Here is a 14,540-nt window from a genome sequence, read left to right as displayed (position 1 = left end):
TCCCACAATTATTTTTCCCTGTATTACCATCACTTGACAAATATATATTTACTCTTATCTTTTTAGCTGTCTGTCTCTCCCTACTAGAATGTAAACTTCATGAAGGCAGGTACTTTTTTTGGTTAAACTGATGCATCTCCTACATCTGGAACACTGCCTGGCACATAGTAGGATTAAATAATTCCTGAATGAATGAATACATTTAATGCAATGTTATTAATACATCTGAGAAATGACAACAGTAGCAACTGAGATGCAAGATAATTTAGTCCTTTTCAGATTGCTACCCGAAAAATACTTGTGACTAGTGAATACTAGTACAGTCATGCATTGCTTAACAATGGGGATACATTCTGAGAACTGCATCATTAGGCAGTTTCATCATTGTGCAAACATCATAGAGTGCACTTACACAAGCCTAGATGGTACAGCTTACAGACATCTAGGCTATATGGTATAGCCTACTGCTCCTAGGCTACAAACCTATACAGCATGATAGTATGCTGAATATTGTAAGCAATTGCAACACAATGCTATGTATCTGTGTATCTAACTATAGCTAAACAGGCTGGGCATGGTGGCCCATGCCTGTATTTCCAGCACTTTGGGAGGCCAAGGTGGGTGGATCACCTGAGGTCAGGAGTTTGAGACTAGCTGGCCAACATGGTGAAACCCCAACTCGACTAAAAATAAAAAAATTAGCCAGGCGTGGTGGCAGGCGCCTGTAATCCCAGCTGTTTGGGAGGCTGAGGCAGGAGAATCACTTGAACCTGGGAGGCGGAGGCTGCAGTGAAGTGAGAATGCACCACTGCACTCCAGCCTAGGTGACAGAGTGAGACTCCGTCTCAAATAAAAAAATATATATAGCCAAACAGAGAAACTAAAGTACACTAAAATACGGTAATATAATCTTATGGGACCACTGTCATAAATGCAGTCCAGTGCTAACCAAAATGTCATTATGCGGTGCATGATTGTATATTAAAAAGATTACTGTTGTAAGAGTCAGAATGCAGTCATCCCTTCAGTAAATAATTATTCGGGGTAGTCTACTAGATACTTGGGATACAACTCATCCTAGGAGCTCATAGTGTAGTTAGAAGATGTGGGTTTCAATACCAGTATAGCAACCAGCCCAATGACTTTGACTAATACATTTTAAATTTCTGCGAGCCTCCTGTTTTCTCTACTACAAAATAAAAACATATATTGCCTAGACTGAAGTATTATGAAAATTATGAGGTAATATGTGAAAACACATTATGAATTATAAAGCCTTATACAAATGTAAAAGAATCAAGTATCTCTAAAATATATGTGAGAAATATTTAGGAAATAAAGCATTGGAAAACACTAAGTTAGAAATAATTACAAAAGCACTCAGTTAAGCAAATTAAAATAGTTATAATCAGGATCATAAATAAAAAATATAAGTTTTGCATTATTCTATTTCCTTGGACTAAGAGTTCTCATTGACATTAGAAGATAAAATAATTAACTGAAAGATGTAAAATCTTGTTCGTAATCTGTGATTTGTAGGCTACTAAAATAAATGGATGGATTATTGCCACACTTACCCTACAGGTAAAAAATGATGTAGAATAAGATCAAGCTTTCTTGGTTCTTGACAGAAATGTCTGAAGAGCAAAGGTGTCCACAGAATGACAGCTGTGGGACGAATTATGAAGGCAAGTGCCACCAGGGATGAGTATTTGACACTATAAGAGGAAAATGTGTGATAAGACAAGTGGGAAATTAACTTGAAGTTATCTATCATTTACACTGTGATTTGACATTTTCCTTTTGGTATAAATAGCTATATGAACTTTTTTTTGTTTTGTTTTGTTTTGTTTGAGACAGAGTCTCACTCTGTCACCCAGGCTGGAGTGCAGTGGCATGATCTTGGCTCACGGCAACTTCTGCCTCCCAGGTGCAAGTGATTCTCCTGCCTCAGCATCCCGAGTAGCTGGGATTACAGGTGTGTACCACCATGCCCGACTAATTTTTTGTATTTTCAGTAGAGATGGGGTTTCACCTTGTTGGCCAGGCTGGCCTCAAACTCCTGACGTCAGGTGATCTGCCCACCTCAGCCTCCTAAAGTGCTGGGATTACAGGCTAATCCCCATGCCAGGCTAATTTTTTGTATTTTTAGTGGGAGACAGGGTTTTACCATGTTGGCCAGGCTGGTCTCAAACTCCTGACCTCAGGCGATCCGCCAGCCTCAGCCTCCTAAAGTGCTGGGATTACAGGCAGGAGCCACAGTGCCTGGCCTAAATAGCTATATTAACTTTTGCAGGTTACTTACGCTTTCTGGGTCTTAGTTTTTCTTATCTTTTAAAAAAGGTAATATCTAAAGCCGTTTTCAGTGCTCATCTTCTAATTCTAGTATTTTCAAATAAGAAGTTATCATATGTCTTAATGCCAGTCTTGTGTGCTAAAAAGCATGCTTTTTACCTCATAACTTTGCCAATTACTTTCTTGATTGAAAAAAAAATGATCAAGTTTCTCCTAAGGAGCTATAAGAAAGTCATAAAGAGAGGCTTTCTCTAAGAAAAAGCATGAGCATTTAAAGAAACAGGATTATTTAGGCAGTGATGGGCTCAGAGTATTTAGAATTTTGTTTTGAAAGTTAATTTTAGCCAAGTGAAATATATATGCATACAACTGATAAAAGGCCTACTGTATAAACTGTATGATCATGGATAGAAATACAGATTTTTATTAACAGGACTTCTCTAAACTAATGGTTGAAAGAGACAATTTGATAATTTAATCATGAGGACTATGGATAGTATATTATTATGTGGAAAAATACTTAGTCCTGTAAAAAATTAAAAGAAAGCAAAATAAGACAACCTATATTACCATTATATACCTATTAACTAATAAAAATAACTATAAAGAAATCTGTAGGCCAGGTGTGGTGGCTCAGGCCTGCAATCCCAGCACTTTGGGAGGCCGAGGTGGGTGGATCACCTGAAGTCAGGAGTTCAAGACCAGTCTGGCCAAAATGGTGAAACCCTGTCTCTACTAAAGATAGAAAAAAATTAGCTGGGTGTGGTGGCAGGTGCCTGTAATCCCAGCTACTTGGGAGGCTGAGGCAGGAGAATCACTTGAACCTGGGAAGTGGAGGTTGCAATGAGCTGAGATCATGCCATTGCACTCTAGCCTGGGCAACAACAATGAAACTCCATCTCAAAAAAAAGAAAAAAAAAAAAGAATGAATTCTGTAATGTTGATGAGGATGTAAGCTCAAGGATAACACATTCAAATGCTTACAGAGACCCAGTAAACTATAAAAATGAGAAATGGGGCTGGGTGCAGTGACTCACGCCTGTAATCCCAGCACTTTGGGAGGCCGAGGCAGCTGGATCACTAGGTCAGGAGTTCAAGACCAGCCTGGCCAACATGGTGAAACCCCATCTCTACTAAAAATACAAAAATTAGCTGGGCGTGGTGGTGCGCGCCTGTAGTCCCAGCTACTCGGGAGGCTGAAGCAGAATTGCTTGAACCCAGGAGGCAGAGGTTGCAGTGGGCCGAGATGGAGCCACTGTACTCCAGCCTGGGCGACAGAGAGAGACACTGTCTCGAAAAAAAAAAATAAAATAAAAATGAGAAATGTAGGCTAAGTTTGAACCATGGTATTGTCATGAAGGAATCCTAGCCCAAAATACTATTAGAACTTCCAATTTTTCAAGAGAAAGTTGAAATCCAGATTTTGATACATGAGCTTGAAATTTAGGCCAGGTTTGGTGGCTCATGCCTGTAATCCCAACGCTTTAAGAGGCCGTGGTGGGAGGATTACTTGATCCCGGAGTTGAACACCAGCTGGGCAACCTAAAGAGACCCCATCTCCACAAATTTTTTTTTTTTGAGACAGTTTTGCTCTTGTTGCCCAGGCTGGAGTGCAATCGTGTGACCTCGACTGACTGCAACCCCTGCCTCCTGGGTTCAAGTGATTCTCCTGTCTCATCCTCCCGAGTAGCTGGGATTATAGGCATGCACCACCAAATCCAGCTAATTTTGTATTTTTAGTGGAGACGGGGTTTCACCATGTTGGCCAGGCTGGTCTCGAACTCCCGACCTCAAGTGATCCACCCGTCTCGGCCTCCCAAAGTGTGGAGATTACAGGCGTGAACCACCACACCCGGCCAATAGTTGCATTTTTTAAAGGAGTGTGCAAAATGTCATTTTATTGTCAGGTCTGGAATAGTATCTGTCATGCTTATACAAGGAAAAATGCTTATATAGCAGTCCTTTTGTACCATGTGACCCTTGCGCTTCCTGACTGAATTAGGGAAGGGCACCTGGGCCCAGGTAGCCAATCTAAGGCTGGCCAGTGTGAAATAAAGTTATGTCCAGATAGAGACAATGAGATTTAATGGACCTAATTCGATTCTCTCAAGCTGAACGTGAGATATGGAGAAATCTGGGTAATTGCTAGCAAAAACAGAAGTGGAGAGACTAGCTAAGCCCCTAAATGATGGAAGACTAAGGCAGGATTCATAGGCTATTTGGGATATAAAGGCACAACAAAACAGTCCATTCCCCAAAACTGCCTTGGATTCTGCATAACATTTCAATTCATTTGTGTGGCTCAGATATTCTACAGTTTTCTTCCAGTCCTAGCCACAAGGCTTGAGATGCCCATTTTCCCTTTTAGCCTTAAAATAAAGTCCTCATCATATACGTAACTTGAGTGAATGCTTTTTCTTGTAGTTAAGAGAGTCTAAGACAGAAATGATCTTATTTGATTTGATCATCCTAACAACCTTTTGTGTAGGAAGAATGGATACTAGAATTTTAACTAGATCCCAAATTCTGGCTTTTCTCCTTTCAGTATATCCTAAATACTGCTATTACAAAAGAAGTTTTTCAAAATCAGATTTGATTATGTCATGCTACTCAAACGCCTCAAATGGTTCCCTATTACCTACAGAATAAAATCCAAATTCAAAGTCTCATTCCAGCCTCATCCCTTCTTCTTCTCTTCTTCCATGCATCCTACAACACTCTATAACTACTCTGGACAATCTGCCTTGAATATACTGTAACTGTAACTGTAAATGGAGCCCATTTACAGTTCTATGCCTTCACTCATGTTCCCATTGCGTGGTATTTGTTTCCCCAGTTTAAAGGAAGCCAAATAAAGTCCAAGTATTTCCTATTTGCCCTTCCAAAACTCTTCTCCTCCAGCCTTTATCCAGTCTGCACGCAGGAAAGCTGACCTGAATGGACAGCATCAGTGGCTACCTTGCTTTCTGGCTTCTGACTGTTTTGGGTTGAGAGGCAGAAGAGTTGGGTCAGGATTATTTAGTTCCCTGGCTGTCTCCTCATTATTGCTAAAGGCTGGCTGTGCCTGTCCCTGCTGGGGCACTCTCTTACAATTACAGCTTTTTATAGATTCCAGTAACCATTTCTTCTCCTTGCTCCTTGGGGCCTAGAGATAATACAGACTTCCTACTATAACCATGCTGGGGGTACTATGGTGTTTCCTTATTGGCTTTTCTAAATATTGTCTAAACCTTTGCAAATATTCCTTTTGTTAAACTCTCCTTAATTATCCTGTTTGAGTATTATCTGTTTTCTGCTATAATATATCAACTGAAAATTTGTGGTTCTCATGACTCATGAAAATTAGGGGGTCTACTAGACATTACAATATGTTGATATTTAAGATTTTTCAAAAGTAGAATTTTGAACATAATTATTAACAATAATTTTTCTTACCTGTTCATAGACTTTGAACCTTCCAAAGGATAGTAGAAAAGAGCAATTATAGTGAGAACAGTTTCCATGGTGTTTGTAAGGGTTCTGGTACAGCAATACCATGTGAACCAGGAGCACAACTGGCAAAAAAACTAAGAAAAAGTACAGAGCAAACATATATGAAATTGGAAATGGAAAACCTTAGTACATATTATCTTCTAAATAGCAAGCAAGTCTAAATATTGTGAAAAGGACATCAAAAGGTAGATGATGTTAAAGTAAGTAGGCATGCCCAAACGTCGTTTTTAGAAAGTTACATGAAACACAGGTTTATGATAATAGCAGATCTATATTTGTTCATGTTAAGAAGTTTATACTTTCAGGTGCATTTTTATGGCACTTCATTTGATTTAAAATCCCACTTTCCATTAATGAAACACATAAAAAACAGATTCTTTGATGGTAGAGTTTACAGATGATTGAAATTCATAACTAGATTCTTCCAATCAATATTTCTCAAACTGTCTTATAGTACTGACACAAGTATTATGACTGTTTTTTTGTTGACCTTGTTTGGAATGTTGCACTTGTTTGGAATGTCTCCCTGTTTTGGAACGCTGATGAAAAATTAAGACAAAAGAGGAAAGAGGAAAAAAAAGTCAGGAGACATTATTAAATTTTAATTTGGAGATTGACTAAATTAATGAATCAGTTTTTGGAAGAACATGCACACAGAGCACCATTAAGTCTACAAAACAAATGTGTTAAAAGAAACTTGTTAGTTGAGGCAATTGTTAAGCATGTGGCACTAGCTTCCCATCTCACCAAATATAGCCTTTAAAAAATGTTCCCAATTTTCATGAAAGTAAAGGTTTTCCCTAAACTAGAAGAACCTAGTGCTGTATCCTTTTTTTTTCTTCGAGAAGGAGTCTTGCTCTTGCTCTGTCACCCAGGTTAGAGTGCAGTGGCACAATCTCTGCCTCCTGGGTTCAAGCAATTCTCCTGCCTTAGCCTCCCGAGTAGCTGGGATTACAGGTGTCTGCCACCACGCCTGGATAATTTTTGTATTTTTAGTAGAGACAGGGTTTCACCGTGTTGGCCAGGCTGGTCTCGAACTCCGGACCTTGTGATCCGCCCACCTCAGCCTCCCAAAGTGCTGGGATTATAGGGGTGAGCCACCATGCCCGGCCCTAGTGCTGTATCTTTGGAGGAAGGACTTCAAAGCCATCATGACTTTTGCCTACCATTTTATGTTGAGCCTTCTGCAATGTACATAAAGTATAAGCACAAAATAATGAGGCTAACCATATTGCTGAATCAATTAGCAAGGACTTAGTTGCTAAACCAATCTTTCTTTTTAATGCAAAGGAATAGAATACCTGCAGAAATGTTCCCTTTCTAATTTATTAATAAATTATATTTCAGAAATATGTTGCTAAATTGGTTACTTGGAATTTAGAATGTATTTTCCAATAGAAACAATATAAAAAAGGTAGTTAAGACTTTCAAACAGGCTCATATAAGCTTATTAACTTTACAAAGAGCCAAGTGAATTAACGACAGTACTACAGAATCCAATCCCTCATCAGGGTATTGTTTAAATGGGAAAAATCCATTCAAGATTGGAGTGGGAGATGTCAGGAATCTATCTTCCCACCTTGAAATAAGTCAAACGACAAAAGATAGTCTTGCATACTATACTTTCTTCCTTACATGAGTCCAGTAATTGCACCAACCTAATATTGTTGTGGCACAAACGACAATTACTTTTGCACCAACCTAATACTTCCAACATCCCATTCAGAAGTGAGAGTTTCAGTGCAAAAAGATTTCTCGGGCTGCACCTCAGATAGAGGCTGGCTAGAGGAACAGAACAAGGGTTGTAAATAGCTAAGATGCTTTGTGAGGTAGCTGGTAATTTAGAACGATCCCTACTCAATTCTATGGAAAGAGAGGCAAGGACAGTTTTGAGGAGTGAAGGGGCTTCCAAAGGTTGTCTCCCAGGGTTTAGACTCTCATAGGGTTTGAGGGCATCAGTGGCTTACACTGTGCAGGGCTTAATCCGAAGGAAAGATATGGCAGGTGCCACTTGCATATTACTGTTCTTATTTATGGAAGTACCTCTATAAAGTTGTATGAATTATCTTCTAAAATTGTTTTGGGAATCAATGTTTCCATGTGCTTTATACCCATAGGAACGAAATAACTGGCATACAGCTTCTAAAGTATTTAGGACTTACCACCCATCTTGCCACTTCCTGATTTTCTAGTTGCTTCATTAATGAGTAAAGTCTCACATCTGCTACAGCAGACAGAAGTGCTTGGGCAAGTCTAGGAATCCAAATCTTCATCAGTTAAAAAGAAGAACAGGATGTTAAAAATATCTGTTGGTTCAAACTGAATTATGATAAAAGTCAACAAGCTGATCCAACTATCTATGGGAAGCCATTCTTAGTACAAAAATAGGCAATATATTTTTCTATTCTTCCACAAAACTACATCCCTACATCCCCTTTTCTACAAAAATTATATTCTCATTAAAATAATCAATGTAGTTTTAAGTTTTACCAGTCTCATTCTCTGTATGTGTGTGTATATATGACATATATACACATATGTTATATATAAAATATATTATAAATATAAATATATATATTTATATATAAATATGATATTTACCAGTCTCATTCTCTGTATGTGTGCATATATATGACATATATACACACACATATATTATAAATATATTTTTAAATTATTTTTTATTATATTGATTGATTGACAGGGTCTCACTCTGTTACCCAGGCTGCAGCCTTGAATCCAGGAGTGAAGCAATTTTCCTGCCTCAGTCTACTGAGTAGCTAGGACTTCAGACATGCACTGCCACACTCAGCTAATCTTGCCTCAAATGATACTTCCACCTTGGCCTCCCAAAGTGTTGGGATTACAAGCGTGAGCCACTGTGCCTGGCCCTAATTTTAATGTAAATATTAATAGCCAGTCATTTAATTGTGTTAAGTTTCTGTTTTATTTATTTATTTTTATGAGACGTATCGCTCTGTCGCCCAGGCTGGAGTCCAGTGGCGCAACCGCGGCTCACTGCAAGCTCCGCCTCCCGGGTTCACGCCATTCTCCTGCCTCAGCCTCCCACGCCCGGCTAATTTTTTTGTATTTTTAGTAGAGACGGGGTTTCACAATGTTAGCCAGCATGGTCTCGATCTCCTGACCTCGTGATCCACCCGCCTCGGCCTCCCAAAGTGCTGGGATTACAGGTGTAAGCCACCGTGCTCGGCCAAGTTTCTATTTTAAAAGTATATTTATATTCATTAGCAACAACAGGTTTTTAAAAATTCAAATATTTGCAGCACTGTGTACTATGTATCATGCTATTTTATATGTATCAACTCATTCAGTCCTAACAATCTTCTGAGTCAAGAACTGTTTTATAGATGAGGAAACTGAGGCACAGAGAGGTTAACTAATTTTCCAAGGCTGCACAGCTAGTAAGTATGAAAGCCGGCATTATAAACCCAGGTCTGCCTGACTTTAATTACTAAGTTATGCTGCTTCTCTATCCTGCAATATAGATAATAAGATAATATTATGTATAAGATAATAAGATATAAAATAAGATAATAAGAAATACTTTTTTTTTTTTTGAGACGGAGTCTTTTTTTTTTTGGAGACAGAGTCTCGCTCTGTTGCCCAGGGTGGAGTGCAGTGGCACGATCACGGCTCACTGCAAGCTCCACCTCCCAGATTCCAGCAATTCTCCTGCCTCAGCCTCCTGAGTAGCTGGGACTACAGGTGCACGCCGCCACGCCCAGCTAATTTTTTGTATTTTAGTAGAGATGGGGTTTCACCATGTTGCCCAGGCTGGTCTCGAACTCCTGAACTCAGGCAATCCGCCTGCCTCGGCCTCCCAACGTGCTAGGATTACAGGAGTGAGCAACCGTGCCCAGCGAGATGGAGTCTTGCTCTGTCGCCCAAGCTGGAGTGCAGCTGTGTGATCTTGGCTCACCGCCACCTCTGCCTCCCAGGTTCAAGCGATTCTCCTGCCTCAGCCTTGTGAGTAGCTGGGACTACAGATGCATGCCACCACGCCTGGCTAATTTTTTGTATTTTTAGTAGAGACGAGGTTTCACCATTTTAGCCAGGATGGTCTTGATCTCGTGACCTTGTGATCTGCCCGCCTCAGCCTCCCAAAGTGCTAGGATTACAGGCATGAGCCACCGCACCTGGCTAACAAATTACTTTTTAAAAAAGCACAAATATTCTGCAATTATAGGAACATGGTATTCAGATGACATTAAAGAGTAAATTTAAGTGTAAAACTGAAATAAAGACTAAATGTATTACAACTAAATTATAGTTAGAAAGGCTAATGCTATGCACTAGCATCTCTCAGAGTTAAAAAAAAAGGTGTCATAGTTAACACTAACAAAATAACAACTGCTGGTAGAGCACAATTTAATCTTGGTTTGTTTAAAAGATGTGTTTCTAAAAATTTATACGTGAGTTTATTTATTTTTTTATTTTGTGTGTGTGTGTGTGAGACAGAGTCTCACTCTGTCATCCAGGCTGGAGTGCAGTGGTGCGATCTTGGCTCATGGCAACCTCCACCTCCCAAGTTCAAGCGATTCTCCTGCCTTAGCCTCCCAAGTAGCTGGGATTACAGGTGCCCGCCACCATGCCTGTATAATTTTTCTATTTTTAGTAGAGATGGGGTTTCACCATGTTGGCCAGCTAGTCTCGAACTCCTGACCTCAGGTGATCCACCCCCCTCACCCTCCCAAAGTGCTGGGATTACAGGCGTGATCCACCGCGCCGGCTGTTAATTCATATTTTTGTTGAAGCAAACTTCATTAAGTCCACATTATAGGAGCTGCTTTACTTTTAGTTGTCAGTGGCTTTTAGCACTTTATTTTCTTTTTGTCCACAATGTGTAAATAAATGCTAAAATTGGAAAGTTAAAGGTACCCAGTACTTAATTTCACATAAACTGTGCCCTGTAAAATACAGGAAAAGGCACTCATGTACATACCTTCTGTTTACTCTGCATAGGGAGCTATAAGCTTCATCCTTACTTCCCAGGCCCCCTGAAAGCAGTTCATATGAAAAGTCAATTTGGCTACAAACTTAATATGAGCCAACAGTGTGAGGTAGCTATTAAAAAGCTAAAAGAATTCCTGTGCTCTGAGAAATGTAAGTTAATGGACCCACCATATTCTGAACTAGTTACTCTGCCTTCATTATTGTGTCAGTTTGGAGATCCACATTTTAAGACGGATATTAATAAATTACAAAGTGTCTAGAGGATACTATCTATGATTATGAGGTTAAGAGCTAGAGACATTTACCCCGAATAAAGAGAAGTTTTTCAAGGGTGGTTAAGTAGAAATCTTGAATTTAAAACAAAGTAGACTTTCGCATAACAATAAGCGGAGTTCTGAACTCCCAGTCATTAGCAGTTTCTCCAGATTTTTGATGCCATAATTTTCCATGTTACAGTAAGGACCTGCTAAAGAGTAAAATAAAGCAGTGGAGTGAGGTAAAGAGAAGAACATGCCAGGCGTAACTTGAGCACTAGGCCTATGTTGGTAGCTCCTCATTCCATACTTCTGTTCTTTACACTCCTGACTCCTCCCCTAAGCTACAGGAGCCAAATACCCTTTTGTTGTCTTCTGACTATTCAAAGACCCTACTGTTGGCAAGCTTGGTGGCTCACCCCTGTAATCTCAACACTTTGGGAGGTAGAGGCAGGCAGATCATTTGAGTCCAGCCTGGCCACGGTGAAACCCCGTCTCTACTAAAAATACAAAAATTAGCCAGGTGTGGTGGCAGACACCTGTAATCCCAGCTACTCGGGAGGCTGAGGCAGGAGAATCACTTGAACCCGGGAGGCGGCAGTTACAGCCAGCCAAGATGGTGCCACTGCACTCCAGCCTGGGCGACAGAGTGAGATTCCATTTCAAAAGAAACAAAACCCAACAAACCTTACTGTGGTTCCCCATTCAGGTTTCCCCTCCTCTTCCTCTTTCTTTTTACATGTTCCATGCCATCACAGGCCAAAAGACATATAACATGAGCCACATGTGGAATTTTAAATTCTATAGCTGGCAAATTAAAAAGTAACAACAGAGATGACCCCCAAATCCAAAACAGGTAAAATTAATTTCATCTTGTCTAACCCAATATATCTAAGGCATCATCATTTGAACATTTAATCAATAAAAATTATAAAAATATTTTTATTCTTTTTTTGTACTAGGCCTTTGACATTCAGTATGTATTTTACATTTTCAGCACTTCTCAAATTGGACTAGCCACATTTGAAGTCTTCAACAGCTACATGTAGCTAGTGGCTACCATGGTGGACAGTGCAGCTCTAAGCCATCTATCCTTTTTAAAAATTTTTTGTAGAAACAGAGTTTTGCTATGTTGCCCAGGCTGTTCTCAAACTCCTGGCCTCAAGCAATCCTCCCACCTCAGCCTCCCAAAGTGCTGAGATTACAACTGTGAGCCACCATGCCTAGCTGTGCATAAGCCTTATGCAGTTTGTAGAGGAGCCATCTGGGAAGAGCACTAGGCTGTGAGTAAATAGACCTGGGATTTAGCTCTAGTTCTGCTTTTAACACGTTGTGACCTTGGTCTATTTACTTCACTTCTCCAACCTCTTCTAGCTTCAAAATTATGTATATAATTTGCTTAAAATAATCAATATGAGAGTATGAATGACTGATCATATCCTAATGAATCTCTACAGGGTCAAGTTCTAGATACGACAATGAGTTCCTTTTAGAGGGGTTGGAGCAGGTCAGGGGAGGCTTCCTTCACATCACAAAATGACCTGGTGGGTCAGCTACAGATGGAGGGCAGTGGATAGGTCTTGGAGGAGCAGGAAATTTTTCTATCTTGAAGACCTCTTCATTTGTAATCTGACCTACTTCCTGGGATATAAACTGTCATTGATGAGATTATGTATATTTTCTTGTGATTCCAGACTTTATGGATACCTTGCATAATCTATAAACTAGTAGATAACTGTAAGAGAAGAAAAGCCAGGTTGCGGCTCCTAAATTCTGCCTGTTGTTAATGGAAGAAACTCTGCTACTGCTCTGAATTCTCCTTCCCCATCATCTTCCCATTTGAAGCATCGGTTTCACTGGTTTAACCCTAATTTCTCAATAACGGAAGCAAATATTGCAATGGGGAGAGTACAACCCCACCTTAAAACAAATACCCTAGAACCTGTGTCTTTCTAAGCTACACAAAACACGTCAGGATTTGGACTGCCTTTGGAATGCTGAGCCATTAACCCCCACTGACAGAAATCGGGGGGAGCACAAACTCTGAGTCTCATCTGATGACAGCTTAAAAGATCATGGGAGTGAGGCTAGAGAAACTTTTACACCATTAGTCCTGCCCTTGTACTATCTCCTGGCAACTGACCCCAGCAATTAATAGCCTAGGAATTACAATCCTACTTACTGTTGATGCCTAATTACTATATAGGACGATGATTATGCAGATCATTAAATGTTTGTCAAATTAAAAATTTTAAAGTTTTAATTTCAACACTAAATCCTCAGTGGGTTTAGATGTATACAGACTTCATAAAATCATATCACACGGTCTTCTTACAAGGTAAAAAACACAAAATACAACGGTGCTCTCAAGTGATACTTTTTTTGCGGGGGATGGGGGAAGGAGTTTCGCTTTTGTTGCCCAGGCTAGAATGCAATGGCGTGATCTCGGCTCACCGCAACCTCCACCTCCTGGGTTCAAGTGATTCTCCTACCTCAGCCTCCAGAAAGTCTGAGATTACAGGCATGCGCGACCACACCCGGCTAATTTTGTATTTTTAGTAGAGACGCGGTTTCTCTGTGTTGGTCAGGCTGGTCTCGAACTCCCAACCTCAGGTGATCCGCCCGCCTCGGCCTCCCAAAGTGCTGGGATTACAGGTGTGAGCCACCGCACGGGCAGATCACCTCAGGTCGGGAGTTCGAGACCAGCCTGACCAACACAGAGAAACCCCATCTCTACTAAAAATACAAAATTAGCCGGGCATGGTGGTGCATGCCTGTTATCCCAGCTACTCGGGAGGCTGAGGCAGGAGAATCGCTTGAACCCGGGAGGTGGAGGTTGTGGTGAGCCAAGATCACGCCATTGCACTCCAGCCTAGGCAACAAGAGCAAACTCCGTCCCAAAAAAAAAAAAAAAAAAAAAAAAGAAAGAAGTATACTTCTAATGTCCAAATAATACATAATATAGTCATTTTGAAAATCTGCACATCATAACAGGATTCCTCATAGCAGGATATTTTCATGCTCAGTCTTGTATTTCAGCACAAACTAAAGAGTTACACATCACAGTATGTCTGTAGTATCATGGGCTTCCCAGATATGGCTGGACTTCAGCAACAGTAGCCTTTTAAAAACAAATTCCATGGCCCCAATATCATTTAGTTACTTTTATTTAAACTTACCAGCAACTGAACACTATCTTTCCCTAAAAGATGAAGAATCTTGTAAATGCTTGCAAAGATTAAGGGATAAGTGTAACTCCTCAGTCTCTCTGTCCATTCCCAAGTCAAATAACCATAATTAGTAACATTAAGGAGTAAATGTCCAATAATATTGAAACCTATTTCCGTGTTTTTTTTTTTTTTAAGATGGGGTCTCACTCTCTTGCCCAGGCTGGTCTCAAACTTGGGCTCAAGTGGTCCTGCCTCTACAGGTGCACACCACTTCACCTGGCAAAATCTATTTTCATTTCCATTTATAAAACAATATTTTATTTTGTGGCAGTCTTAAAACAGCATTTTATACTGG

General features: G+C 40.1%; 1 protein-coding gene across 10 annotated transcripts in view; it reads right to left on the bottom strand.

Annotated features, from left to right (window-relative positions):
• PIGB (phosphatidylinositol glycan anchor biosynthesis class B) overlaps window positions 1-14,540 on the bottom strand; it is a 36,427-nt gene that overhangs the window by 20,064 nt on the left and 1,823 nt on the right. For 3 of the 10 annotated variants that reach the window (NM_004855.5, XM_011522235.4, XM_047433365.1), the window contains exons 3-6: window positions 14,195-14,312; window positions 7,950-8,054; window positions 5,731-5,861; window positions 1,578-1,718 (exon numbers count right to left, since the gene is read on the bottom strand). In NM_004855.5, the coding sequence (NP_004846.4) occupies window positions 1,578-1,718; window positions 5,731-5,861; window positions 7,950-8,054; window positions 14,195-14,312 (495 nt within the window). Of the gene's footprint in view, window positions 1-1,577; window positions 1,719-5,730; window positions 5,862-7,949; window positions 8,055-10,750; window positions 10,806-11,066; window positions 11,228-14,194; window positions 14,313-14,540 lie in introns of those variants that run through there. The other 7 variants (XM_017022731.2, XM_047433363.1, XM_017022730.1 and 4 more) reach the window with 7 other exon arrangements.

The sequence above is a fragment of the Homo sapiens genome, chromosome 15 (assembly GCF_000001405.40).
Source record: "Homo sapiens chromosome 15, GRCh38.p14 Primary Assembly".
Lineage (NCBI taxonomy): Eukaryota > Metazoa > Chordata > Mammalia > Primates > Hominidae > Homo > Homo sapiens.
This window is presented reverse-complemented; position numbering and strand designations above follow the sequence as displayed.